The following is a 13,978-nucleotide window of genomic DNA, read 5'->3' as shown; positions in this document are numbered from 1 at the left end:
CATAGGCTCTCAGCAGAGGGGCTGAGCGCTGTCTCCTGCTGCCCCCTGCTGCCCCCCAAGCCCTGTCCGCAAGCCACAGTCAGGGATGGGCAATCAGGCCTGGCAGGAGCTGCCAGGGCTGCCTCCCTCTTGTCAGAGACAGATCTGGGAGGAGCCTTCCTCCTCCCTCTCTCCCTCTTCCTTTTGTCTTTGAAATTGCAATCACAGCTTTCATTTGAGCCTTGGGCCACAGAAGCCAGATGCCCTGACCGCAGGGCTGCCTGAGATGAGGGTCTGGGGGTCTCTGTCCTCCCACGCCCAGCCTGGCAGAGGCAGCCCCGCCTCCGGGCTGAGGCGCTTTAATCTCTCACTTTTCAGGCTGATTCCTAGAATAGGGGTTCTTAATGTGGAAATGGCTTTCTATTCCTGCCTGGATGCCGCCCTGGTTTAACACGTTGTTTTCGATCCGATGGAAACATTTAGAAAACCTCAGTGGGGTGTGGGGACTCCTTGGTCCCAAGGGTCTGTGCTGCCAGGAGGGGATGCTGAGATTGGGGGGTAGCTATGGCCCAGGCAATGCCCACCTGCCAGCAGGCAGGCGCTTCACTCTTACCCCCCCTGCAGTGGGCAGGGCGCATCCTCATTTACATCTGAGAATGCAAGGGAGAAGGGAGGCTTTGCCAGGTGCATGGCTTTGTGTTTGCTGCAGAGGAGGTGGGGTTGGAGCCTGGGCACCCTGCTCTCTCTCCAGAATGTTAAAAATGAGGATGATGTTTAAAAAGAGCATCTCTTCAAACACTGCACCTTCCTTTTCTATGATGATGCGTTCGTTCCTAGGAAAAAATGTGATTTAACATAACCCCAGAGCCTCAGGCTGTCGTAAGCCCTAGCGTTTTCTGCAGGGAGAGGTGGGAAACATGGCTTTGACAGGAATCACATCTGGGATGGGCTCTGGCATTGAAACCCACGGTGGTGAGACTGCCACTGCTGCAGGTGACATCTGTCATCAAAGGACCTGCTCCAGGCAGTAGGGACTGGGGTTCCTGGGGTGCTGGCATGGTTTTTTTTAAGGCTGTAGAGGGGGACAGGACAAAGACACAGAGTGACTGACAGTAACAGGGTCGGATTGGGCGTGGAGTCTGTGAGCTCTGAAGAGCGGGGGAGGCTGGCGGGGCCAGGGAGGAAAAGGCTGGGTATAGATTACTTCACTCTGCTTCGTTATATTTTTTAGATGAGGAAATCTGTGTGTGTTCCTTGTACCAAGTGAGTGGTGCTGACACAGGTGAAGCCCCCGCATCCCCTTCTCAGGGGCTGTCCCAGTTCAGGTTCAGCAACTTCCCCAACAGACCTGCATCTCCATGTTTGCACAGCCACGGGGTCCTGGCGTTCCCGTTGCTGTGTGTGTTGGTGCTGTCTGGGAAGATGCTTTCCTGTTTGCAGTTGGATCCCAGGGCCTTGGTCATTCCAGCCTCAAAGCAGGGTCTTCAGTGAGCCCCTCTCAGGAAGGGTGATTAGTGAGTGGCCAGCAGCTCACAGGCTTCTGAGGAGTCCTGTCTGCAGCTTGGAGGCAACAGGTGCCGGTGCTGAGCCTGCTGTCCAGGAACCTCCCCTCCTCCCTCTTTGGTTCCTGCTGTGGGATGCCAGCTCACATCAGCTGGATTTTATGGGCCTCAGTGGAAAGTGTAGCACACATTTCAGAAGGCGTGTGCATCCTGCTGCTGATGACAGCCTTTCTCTGCCCTCATGGCAGTCAGGCGAGAAGCCTGAACCCAGGAAGGGCCTTCCACGGTGGTGGTAGAGACAGGGTTGGGCAGGGGCCATGGATTTTTAGGCCATGTCTGCCTTGGCCACAGCGACGCCCAGAGATGGGAGGAAGCAGAGCAGGTGCATGTGGTACAGGATGTGCCGAGCTTCCTCCCAGCCAGTGAGAGAGGTGGTGGGCTCTGTTCACATTTACTGTATTTCCACAATGAACAACAAACTCTCCATAAACATCTCTTAGGAGTGATTGGGGTAAGAGAGGCAGATCCAGCCTGACTCCTTGCAAAACTGGATCCATTTTCATCTTGAGAAGGGTAAGAAAAAAGGGGCACCACAATGGTGACAAGATACTGCTTAGAGTTCTGAGGACACAGTAGGGAAGCAGAATCAGAACAAGATCAGCATGCATGAGTGTACCCATGTACGTGTGCATACGTGCACCCATGTACGTGCATGCATATGTGTACGTGTCTGCAGGTGTATGCTCACATGTATGAGTGTGTGCATGTGTGTATGCATGCAGGTGTGCGTGTATGTGTGCAGGCATGAGTGTGCCTGTGAATGGGCATGACTGCATGCATGCATGAGTGTACCCATGTACGTGTGTGCATACGTGTACGTGTCTGCAGGTGTATGCTCACATGTATGAGTGTGTGCATGTGTGTATGCATGCAGGTGTGCGTGTGTGTATGTGTGCAGGCATGAGTGTGCCTGTGAATGGGCATGACTGCATGCATGCATGAGTGTACCCATGTACGTGTGTGCATACGTGTACGTGTCTGCAGGTGTATGCTCACATGTATGAGTGTGTGCATGTGTGTATGCATGCAGGTGTGCGTGTGTGTATGTGTGCAGGCATGAGTGTGCCTGTGAATGGGCATGACTGCATGCATGCATGAGTGTACCCATGTACGTGTGTGCATACGTGTACGTGTCTGCAGGTGTATGCTCACATGTATGAGTGTGTGCATGTGTGTATGCATGCAGGTGTGCGTGTGTGTATGTGTGCAGGCATGAGTGTGCCTGTGAATGGGCATGACTGCATGCATGTATGAGTGTGCATGTGTGTATGTATATGTGTGCACATGCTTGTGGGTGCATGTGTGTATATGTGTGCACATGCATTCATGACTGGATGTGCTTGTCTCTGTGCTGAAGCAGGAGGGATACCCTGTGAATACAGAGTGAGGAGGAACCCCTGAGCACCACAGCCCTGCTATAGGGTTCAGCAGAGGAGCAATTTGAGAATTTGGGGAATGTCACATGTTTTCATGCAAAAGGGTGGATAATACATTGAAGTGAAGGAATTCCAGTTTTAAGTGCTGGGCACACAAGGTTAAGGGCCCCACAGGCCGCTGTTGGCTTTCCTTGTGGATTTAGCTTCTTGGCCTCAGAATGACATCTGGACCTTAGTGTATGCAGTCTGTGAGCCGACAGGGTACACAAGTCCAGGATGCCACTTGCCGCCACATGGCGGGTGTGGAGCCCACTCGAGGAAGGCGTGTGCCCGAGGCGCCTGGGCTGGGTTGAACCAGTGTCTGCCAGAGAAAATGTCTTTTCTCTGGATGATTTATGGTCATAATTACTATTAGTAGGTGGCTGATACTTAAAATGAAATTTGCTCTTTCGTAATTTTAGAACAAATAACTTAGCAGTCAAATTAGCATATCCACTGGCTGGGTGAAATATGCATAACATTTGCAGCTCTGGTAATCATGTGAAATGCTGCTGCTGTGTTTGCCTCTCACCAAGGAGTGCTGCAGGTTTTCCACTGTCACTTCTCATCAGTCCTCTGGAGTAACGAATCAGGTTGGGCACATGCCAGTAACAGGTGGTTTTCCAAGGTCAGGATCCAAGAGATCATTTGATGCACATCTCATTCAGATCACATCTAACTGTCAGCCACGATTAAGGCAGAGATGGGAAGAAAACAGGGGCTTTCTTCCCGGTGCCTCTCCTAGCAGAGCTCCGTCATCTGCCATTTCCACGTGACAAACATGGAGTTAGAACGTGAGCTGTGTCTGCAGCATCCCTGCATCTGCCTTCCCCCAAGGTCTCTGTTCCTCCACGCTGGAGATGCACCCTAGAATCCTGAGCAGAGTCCTGCAGCTCCTGCCAGAGCCGGGACCAGGGACGTTCCACGACATCGGACTAACCTCCAGCACATCTCCGGTGTGGTCACATCCTTACTGCTCCCAGCTCCTTCTCTGTGCGCCTCTGTGTGCCTGGGGCGGGAGGGGCCCTCACAGCTGAGGCTCTCCCTCTGGGAGGCAGTGAGGGGAGCCTTGGAGGTCACTGCGTGAGGATCTGAGAGGACCTCTAACCTCCATGCTGACCTTTTCAAGGTCACTGCTTTTGTGGGGAGTGGTGTCTGCCTCTCCTCCTGCTGTTCAAGTGCCAGGTGTGTGTCTCTCAGAACGTTCCCTGCCACGCTCCTGTAGGCCGTTCACCTCCTCTGCCTGGCTCAGACACTTGTTGAATGAAGAAATAATGCAGAGAATGCAGACTGAATGTGGGGTTAGCTGATGGGTAAATGGGATTAAGAAATGAAATGCTGGCCAGGCGCGGTGGCTCACGCCTGTAATCCCAGCACTTTGGGAGGCCGAGGCAGGTGGATCACTTGAGGTCAGGAGTTCGAGACCAGCCTGGCCAACATGGTGAAATCCCGTCTCTACTAAAAATACAAAAATTAGTTGGGTATGCTGGCGCACGCCTGTAGTCCCAGCCACTTGGGAGGCTGAGGCAGGGGGATTGCTTGAACCTGGGAGGCAGAGGTCGCAGTGAGCCAAGATCACTCCATTGCACTCCAGCCTGGGTGATAAGAGCAAGACTCCATCAAAAAAAAAAATCTGTTTTTCATGAGATTGTTATTTCAAAACAAAACAAACAAAAACTCCCCCAAACCAAAAACAATCTCTGCTTGGATTGGAGGCTCCCGTCAATGGGTGGGGTGTCCACCCGCCTGTGACTGCTGGCAGGCGATGGTGGTGGGCACTGGGCTGGGCAGGCACTGGCTGGGCAGGCCAGGGCTGCACCTAGGCCACCTCCTGGGAGGAAGCAGATCCCAGCCAGGGGCCGCCCTGCAACTGTGGAAGGCTCGTGAAGCTGTTGTGAGACGAGCGAGGCTGCCTCCTCCTGTGAACTCCCAGCGTTGGGTCCTGCTAGGCTCTGTGCTGCCTTAGGTCTGGAATGACGTTTAGTTTTAAAGCCTCCGCACGTGCTGGTTTAAGGCAACCAAGGGCTTCCTCTGTAAGGGTTTTAGGCCAGCTCCCTCATGAGGAAGTAGTGACTGGAAACTTTAACGTGACCCTGGGGGTGAATCCCTCAGTAATTCATAACTTTCTCCAGATTCCTCAGTTTCTTTGTTCACCCATTTGCTCCTGGGCACCTGCCCTGTGCCAGACACACAGAGGGCATGGGAGGAAACAGTAGAGGGTGGAAACAGGCGTGTGCCCGGCTCCTGAACTCCAGGAGAGGGAAATACACACTCAATCCACAGTCACTGCACAGTGTGGCGAGTCCCGAAAAGGACGCCTGGGCAGCCCCGGGAGAGTCTGGGGCTTCCACAGGGATCTTAGCGGATGAACAGGCGTTTGTCGGCTGGTGAAGCAGCATTGAAGGCACTGTGCTTTGCAGGAATGAGTGAAAGACACTGCGCGTTCACACCACACCTGGCCTTTGCTGGCGGTGCGACTCCCGCCTAGTGGCCCTGGGGCCCTCCCGGTTCTGGTGTCCAGGGTGCTCACGCCCTCGCGGGAGCCGCTCCCTAGCGGGGTGGTGCTTTCTGGACCCATCTCTCTGTGTTTAAGACAGGCGTGGACGTGGAGCCGAACGCCAACCTTTGCCAGCCTGCTCGGCCGCGGGGGATGCGTGGCTTGGGGTCGCCTGGCCACCCAGGCACCGCGGAGCTTCTGGAGCCCCTTCCTGGGTGGGGACTGAGGCGCTGCCTCTGCCCCGCGTCTCCTCCAGGGCCTGGCCCAGCCGCGCTGGCCTTTCCTGCCCGTCTTCGTCTCTGCTGCCTCCGCTGCCTCCTTTCCTCTCCCGACCCTCTCCTGCGTCTCTTGTCTGTGGCCACGGACGCCACGGTTTGCTTCCCACGCAGCCGGGCTCCCCGCGGAGCTCGTTACCTCCCTGGAAGCCTCCGCTCCCCGGCGCCCGGCAGCCTTGCTTCCAGGGACGCGGTGCGTGCGGTGAGCACCCGGTCCAGGGGAGGCGCCGGGCCCAGGGGAGGCCTCAAGGGGAGGCCCCGGCCCCGCTGCTGCTCCCGCGGCCAGAGAGTCTCCTGTGATGACGCCGGCTTGACCCTCAGCCCAGAGCTGTGGGCCTGGTCCAGGTGAGAGCTGGGCTCCGGGACTAGGCCAGGAGGCCTCGCACGTGGCCGGGTCAGGGGCGCAGCGTTCTGGCTTCAGAATAATCGGCCCCATCTCGGAAAAGCCGGGTCGGAGGAGCCTGCTTGACCGGCGGTTTCTCTGAAATTCACCAGGGGGCCAGGAAGGCAGCCTCGGGGGCACCCCCCTCCTCCCCTCCAGCTGACCGCGTCTCTTCTCTGTTTCCCCGCAGGCTGCCTGCTCGAGGAGGGCCTCTGCGGAGCGTCCGAGGCCTGTGTGAACGGTGAGTGTGGGGTCCTGGCTGCTGCGCCCTGGTCTGCCCCTCTCCTGCCCGCCGTGCGCAGCGCCCAGCCTGGTGAGCCCCGCCGCTGGCCTGGAGCTGGGGCCGCCCGGGGCGCGCTGCCGAGAGGAGGCGGATGGAACCCCGGAGCCATGGGCTGCGGCCTCGGTGGGTGGGGAGAAGAGGTTGCCCGGGTTCTGGGCGCCCATCGCTCGCACCAACCCTTGCTTTCTGATTTTGTTTTGCTCTGTCCTTCGGCAAGTTTTTCATCCTTTTTTAAAAAATTTTTTTGAGACAGAGTCTCGCTCTGTCGCCCAGGCTGGAGGGCAGCGGGGCTATCTCCTCTCACTGCAACCTTCGCCTCCTGGGCTCAAGCGATTCTCCTGCCTCAGCCTCCTGAGTAGCTGGGATTACAGGCGTGCGCCACTGCACCCGGCTAATTTTTTGTATTTTTAGTAGAGACAGGGTTTCACCATGTTGGCCAGGCTGGTCTCGAACTCCTGACTTCAGGTGATCCACCCGCCTCGGCCTCCCAAACTGCTGGGATTACAGGCGTGAGTCACCGCGCCCGGCCAGGTTTTTCGTCCTTTAAGCCACTGATTTTCCTCTCTTATCAGGCGGATAAGAAAACAGTGCAAACGCTGTGTTTTCAGGTTGGGCTGAAAGCCCATGAGGACGGCAGTTATTATGAAATACGGCGAGCAGCGGGTCCTGCAGAGCCCCTTCCCTCCAGCGCGGTCAGGCAGAGGGCATCTCCCAGGGCAGACGCCACCCGGGCCTGTCATGCTGGTGAACTGGGCGCTGTGCGCTCTGAACGCGCAGGGGAGGGTTAAACTCCAGTATCCTCAGAAAAGCGCTGGGCGGAGCCGCCTTTCTCCAAGTCAGGGGCTGCGTGTGGGCCCGGGGCGCACTGAGCGAGGCCTTCTCTTTCCCCAGCTCCCTGCGCATCTGTCCTCAGACTGTGGGCAGGAGCGGATTTAATCCTAGCGAGGATGGCGGGGCCTGCCCAGAGGCCCCTCGCACCCACTAATCTCTGCACAGACGTGGGTGCCGGCGGGGGACTGAGGTGCAGGGCAGGGCGCTGGCCTGGGGTGCCGCCCTCCTGGGGCCTTTCAGGACAGGCCTCCCCTGCACTGGTGCATCCAGGGGGAGCCGAGGTGAATGCCTCTGAGGGTCTGAGAAGCGAAACCGAGGAGCTCGTGCGCCCTGAGGTGGGACCAGCCCTGGGTTCCGGATGGAATTTTGGGGCTGGGGGCACCTCTGTGTCTGTGCCTAGGCAGCTTCTGGGGTCGGGAAGGGAAGCCACGGTGGAGGCGCCAAGAGGAGAGCAGGTCCTCAGCGGCGGCAGCTTCTGCTGTTTTCTCTTCTTTCGGGAGATTCCTGTGCCGAGTGTGACAAGTGGGAACCGGCAGCTCGTGGGGTGCAGTGTGGGTGGTGGGTGAGGTTCTGGCCCAGCCTAGGACCCCCTGGGGCTCCCTGGCATCTACTCCGTGCAGCTTTAATTTGGAGGCAGCCTTAAGAAAAATAGCGATATTGAAAATCCTACGTCGTCTGCCTGGACTCAACAGCTTTTGATGATAATGGAAGCAGGTGTGTGTGTTTAATTTAATTGGAGCCGTAAGTAGCCCCAGCAGAATAAAAGCCGAGGCTGTCTCCCCGGCTCCTTGACAAAGGCCGGCCTGGGTGTCCGACTGTGATCATTCTCAGACATTTTTCTCCTCAACCTTGACTTGCCTCCCAGACATAGAGTCGTCTCAACATCATATCCAGATAATGACTGTGGATTCCTTGGAAAGGAAAAGCAATTTAAATGTAAATACACATATTCAGGCCTTGATTTGTAGAAACAGATGATATTTGATTTTTTTTTTTTATGATGCACTGAAGGTCTAGGAAACAGCGAAGCCAGTGGTGCCCAGTCTTAGAAAACTGCGCTTTGCGAGGCTGACGGGGAGCGATAGGAGAAGTGGTTCCTGTGCTGGCTCAGATTTATGGTTGCCATGGTGACTGGTTTAGCCCGAGGCTGGCGGGCCAGGGGTGCGGCAGCCCAGGGTGCGGTGGGGGGCGGCTGCGAGTCTAGAACATTCTGTCACCAGCCGCAGGGTCTCTTTCTCTCCCTCTGGCTCACTCTCTCTCTTTCCCCCTCTCTTTTCTTAAGGTACGTGTAGGAATATATAATCTTATCAAGCTTGGATATGTTTTTTAAAAGCCCAACAGAGGTTATTAATAAAAAGAAAGTCAAAAGATAAACATACCACCTCACACCCATTAGGATGGCTAGTATTAAAAAACCCCTGAAAATCGGTGTTGGTGAGAATGTGGAGAAATTGAACACTTGTGCGCTGCTGATGGGAATGTAAAATGGCGTCGTTGCTGAGGGAAACAGTATGGTGGTTTCCTAAAAAATTAAAAATAGAGTTTTTAATTTGCCTCAGCAACCCCACTTCTGGGTACGTACCCCATAACACAGGAAGCAGAGACTTGAAGAGCTGTTTGCACACCCATATTCATAGCAGTTAATGCACAACAGCCAAAGGCGAAAGCAGCCCAGTGTCCACTGATGGGCGAATGGACAAGTGAAACGTGGTCCATCCACATGATGGAATAGTACGCAGCCTTGAAGAGGAAGTGAGTGCTGACACTCGCTGAAACATGGGGGGAGCTTGAGGCTGTTATGCTGAGTGAAATAAGCCAGTCACAAAAGGACAAATACTGAATGATTCCACGCATGTGACGTACTAAAGATAGTCAAGTTCATAGAGACAGAAGGTAGAGTGATGGGGCCAGGGGCTGGGGGACAGTTGGGGTGTCAGTGTTTAATTGGTGGAGTTTCAGTTTGGGACGATGGAAGAGTTCTGGGAATAGACGGTGGTGATGACTGATCAACAGTGTGAATGTAATTAACACCACCGAACTGTACACTTAAGAATGGCTAAGATGGTAAATTTTAATGTGACGTATATTTTACCACAATATGCAATTGGAACTATGAAACTGCAGCCTCTGCACATGCTCATTTAACGTAATCGAATGCTTCAGCTGTAAGGGTTTTAGGCCAGCTCCCTCAGGAGGAAGTCGTGATTGGAAACTTTAAAGTGACCCTGGGGGTCAATTCCTTGGTAATTCATAACTCTGGAGTAACTTTGGTTATTATAGAAAAAACTGTAAGGGTTCTGGAAGAGAAAGCTTAAGATAAAGCAATCACATAATCCTGGAACAGCTTGTAGAAAAGAGAGTTTAGATGCTGTTACATGGGCATCCTAAATATGAGGAAAACAGGTTTCAAAGAATTTTTAAAGCGGATTTGATTTCATGGTTGATAACTTTAAATGGGACACATCCAAACACAGGTGGTATGTCCTAAACATTCTAAAGGCATAATAATCAACTACTCCACAATAGAAAAAAGGAAAACAAATCTATGAAGATTAAAATAGATCACGCTTATGTCGGGAAGTGAGCTGGTCGCTTTCACGCCCTGCTGGTGGGAGCATGGCCTGACGTGATCGTGATGGACGCTGACTGGCCAGCACGTTCACGCCACATAAGGGAGGTGGCCCGTGACCCGGCAATCTGATGTGTGAGAATATGCCCCAATAAAATAATCCATTACCCAAAATACTAAAGAAAACTTGAAGCACAAAGCTGCTCTCTGCAGTGGTGTTTGTATTAATTTTAAAACAGTAGACAAATCATTAATATTAAACAAAGGAGAATGCTTCTTTAAAGCTATGTTATGGTCACATGATTCAAATGTTAAGCAGACATTAAAAGAGAAGTGTTCAAAAAGTTGTTAATAACGTCGGAAAATGCAGGTGGGAGAAAGTAAATGAAAAACTCAGGATCCAAAACTGAGCATCTAATACGATGACAGCCGTGCGAAAATGTGGATAGCAGAAAAAGCTCAAAGAAATACACCACACTGTGAATAGTGGCTCTCTCTGGGTAGTGACTTTTATTTTCTTCATATTTCTCTGGTTTTCCAGTTTTTCACGTGAGCATGTTCCTGCTAAAAGGACAAGAGAGGTGGGAAGGAGGCACATGAAGGAACCACCATTCCCTTTGAGCTCAGAAAGGAGGAGAGGCCTGTGCAGGAGGGGTGCAGAGAGGGGTGGCCGAGCAGGCGGGGCGCAGAGAGGGGTGGCCGAGCAGGAGGGGCGCAGAGAGGGGTGGCCGAGCAGGAGGGGCGCAGAGAGGGGTGGCCGAGCAGGAGGGGCGCAGAGAGGGGTGGCCGAGCAGGAGGGGCGCAGAGAGGGGTGGCCGAGCAGGAGGGGCGCAGAGAGGGGTGGCCGAGCAGGAGAGGCGCAGAGGGGTGGCCGAGCAGGAGGGGCGCAGAGAGGGGTGGCCGAGCAGGAGGGGCGCAGAGAGGGGTGGCCGAGCAGGAGGGGCGCAGAGGGGTGGCCGAGCTTCTAAGAGTGCGTCAGGACGACCACACCATAGCGCTGGAGCCCAGGGGCGGAAATCCCGGACGTCCAGGAGGGCAAGAGGAGCAAGTCGCGCTCTCCGTTTGGAGGGAGGTGGAAGAATGGTGACTGACAGGTGGGGGAGGATGGCTCAGCTACACACCTGTCGGCTCCGTGTCTCGTGGCTCAAGGCTGAATTATGCTGTGACGACCCACAAGCCCTGCGCTCGGTGGCCCAGGTGACACGGGCCTGCGGGCCGTTGCAGGGTGTCTGCCTTCCCTCCGCAGGTGCCCTCCCGGGACGCTGGCGGCCGGGGCCACAGCAACAGCGGCTGGGAGGGGTGCCCTTGCGCTCGTGGCTCACTCCGCCGGCCACGCTGATGGTGGGGAGGCTCCTCCTGCAGCCGACTCCCCGTGGCGGCGTCACAGCCACAGCCTTCACGTCTCCAACTGCAGCTTCTTCTATTCCAAGCCCTTTCTCCACTGAAGAGGGCAGAAAACCACCAGGAACCGAGGACGTCTGTGATGGTGGAGTGCTGTCCGGCCGTGGAAAGGGAGGCAGGAAGCACCGGCACACTGACGCGGAGGAACCTGGGAATCGCCGTGCTCAGAGGAAGAAACCGAGTCACAAAAGTCACGGGGGACATGATTTCATTTATACAAAATGTCCAGGAGGCCAGGGCGGAGGCTCACCCTGTAATCCCAGCACTTCAGGAGGCCGAGGCGGGCAGATCACTTGAGATCAGGAGTTCACGGCCAGCCTGGCCAACATGGTGAAACCCCGTCTCCACTAAAAATACAAAAATTAGCTGGGCGTGGTGGCGCGTGCCTGTGATCCCAGCTACTCTGGAGGCTGAGGCAGGAGAATCGCTTGAACCTGGGAGGTGGAGGTTACGGTGAGCCGAGTTCACACCATTGCACTCCAGTCTGAGCAACAGAGTGAGACTCTGTCTCTAAATAAATAAATAAGTAAATAAATAAGTAAATAAGTCCAGGAGAGGTAAGTCGGTAGAGACAGAAAGTAGGTTGTGGCCGTGTAGGGCTGGGGAAAGTGTTGGGGGCATGGGAAGTGATGGCAGAGGGGCAGGTTCCCTTTGGTGGTACTGAGAGGCTCTGAGGTGGACGGTGAGGTGGTCACGGAACTCTGAACATTCAGAAAACCGTTGACTCTTACAGTTTTTTGTTTTTTTTAAGACAAGCACTTGTTCTGTCGCCAAGGTTGGCGTGCAGTGGTGCAATCCTAGCCTAACGCAGCCTTGAACTCCTAGTCTCAAGTAATCCTCTCACCTCAGCCTCCCTAGTAGCTGGGACTACAAGCACACACCATCATGCCTGGCTATTTAAAAAAAATTTTTTTTTTGCAGTGATGGAGTCTCACTATGTTTCCCAGGCTAGTCTTGAACTCGTGACCTCAAGTGGTCCTCCCACCTTGACCTCCCGAAGTGCTGGGATTACAGGCATGAGCCATTGCGCCCGGCCAACTCCTATACTTTAAAAGGCTGAGTTATGTGGTATATGAATTATGTTTCAATAAAGCTGTTTTTTAAAAGAAAGAAAAAAGAACTGAGGATACAGTTAGGCAAGGAGGTAAGCATAGTGAAGGATATAGCCAGAGAATTGCATTTCTTTAATAAGGGGTTACTTCCCTGACCCCAGACAGATGGGCTCCCTCCCAGGACATTCAACCCAACACAAAACAAGATGGTTGAAAATGCTGGCTCCACCATCTGGGCACAAAGCAGAACAATAAGCTTGTCCCTCTCAGATTTGGGAGTTTTTCCAGCAAACAATCACCTCCCATTGCAACTTAGGTACTAAAAGCACTAGCGTTGTCCCCAAAGTGGAAGACTTTAGAATATTCAAATCCAGAGTGTCTCCCTAATTCTTTGAAGCTATGTGATTAACCCTATTTGGATTTTCGGCCACAGCAAGCAGCAAAGGCTATCAGTGGGAAATTATTTATTGAGTGAGTGGATACAAGAATAAATGAATCATGCTTTCATGGCACAAGAGACACCCCCATAGCCCTCAAATAAAAGATTTATATACCATAGTGGGGAAAAAGTAATTTCTCACCCCTCTCCAGGTTCATGGCTGAGACTTGTAACAAAAGACAGATTAATAAGAGAAAACCCTACCCACTTATTTAATACCGGTTTTCTATGTCACATGGGAGCCTTCAGAAATGAAGACCCAGGAAACAGGGAAGCCTGTTTTTATGGACAGTTGTGCAGAAGTGTGATCGGAGGGCAAAGGGCGTGCTCTGATGTCATAGGCTGAAGGGCTCAGCAAGGCCTGTCTGGAGTCTTCTAGCTGCTTCTGTGTCTTCGGAGATAAGGACATTCCCCTCTGGGCATAGGGAGGCCCCTCTGGAATGAGGGTCTTATGACCTGCCTCCGAGGAGAAGGGGCTGGGGGAATTCTGGTTTCTGTGGTCTGCTTCTGCCGTTTTCTCGAGGGCCACCCTGCCATATTTTGAGGTAGCGTGTTCTGAATCCAGTCTATATAAACATTGCATATCAATTCCCAAAAGTGTGCTTCAGAAATTGCCCAAGAAAAACTAGTGAATGGGCTCATTTGTGAATATAAAAAAAACCACTGATTTAGCATCTACAGGCAGACCTCGGAGATATTGTGGGTTCAATTCCAGGGCACTGCAATAAAGCAAATATGACGATAAAGTGAGTCACACAGATTTTCTAGTTTTCCAGTGCATATAAAAGTTACATTTTACTAGGCTGTGGTCTATTAAGTGTGTAATAGCACTATGTCTAAAAAACAATGTACAGGCCTTCATTAAAAATGTTTTTGCTAAAAATGCTAATGATCACCTGAGCTTTCAGCAAGTTGTAATCTTCCTGCGGGTGGAGGGTCTTGCCGCAGTGTTAATGGCTGCTGATTGATCAGGGCCGTGGTTGCTTGAAGCTTGGGGCAACTGTGTTAATTTCTTAAAATAAGACAAATAAAATTGACTGCATCAGTTGACTCTTCCTTCATGAAAGATTTCTTTGCAGAACGCAATGCTGTTTGGTAGCATTTTACCCGCAGTAGAACATTTTTCAAAATTAAGAGTCAATCCTTTCAACCCCTGCCACTGCCTTATCAAATAAGTTGATGTGATATTCTGAATCCTTTGTTCTGATTTTCACAATGCTCACAGCATCTTCACCAGGAGTAGATTCCATCTCCAGAAACCACTTTCTTTGCTCGTCCCTAGGAAGCAACTCC

General features: G+C 53.0%; 1 protein-coding gene across 13 annotated transcripts in view, besides 1 other annotated feature; it reads left to right on the top strand.

Moving 5' to 3' along the window:
* The window catches only part of PTPRN2 (protein tyrosine phosphatase receptor type N2), a 1,048,768-nt gene that overhangs the window by 91,738 nt on the left and 943,052 nt on the right, over positions 1-13,978 (top strand). For 11 of the 13 annotated variants that reach the window (XM_047420679.1, NM_001308267.2, NM_130843.4 and 8 more), the window contains exon 2: positions 6,301-6,351. The exons of the other annotated variants lie outside the window; for them this stretch is intronic. In XM_047420679.1, the coding sequence (XP_047276635.1) occupies positions 6,301-6,351 (51 nt within the window). The remainder of the gene's footprint in view (positions 1-6,300; positions 6,352-13,978) is intronic. 13 annotated transcript variants of the gene reach the window in all.
* Positions 1,094-1,263: an enhancer, noted in NCBI's record as "experimental_98034 CRE fragment used in MPRA reporter constructs". NCBI's record gives its function as "activates a minimal promoter by MPRAs in K562 erythroleukemia cells, with activity observed for the introgressed 7:158287600 variant allele {active_cell/tissue: K562}" and the evidence as "EXISTENCE:reporter gene assay evidence [ECO:0000049][PMID:34662402]".

Source organism: Homo sapiens, chromosome 7 (genome assembly GCF_000001405.40).
Source record: "Homo sapiens chromosome 7, GRCh38.p14 Primary Assembly".
Lineage (NCBI taxonomy): Eukaryota > Metazoa > Chordata > Mammalia > Primates > Hominidae > Homo > Homo sapiens.
The sequence above is the reverse complement of the archived record's forward strand: the minus strand, read 5'-3'. Positions and strand labels throughout refer to the sequence as shown.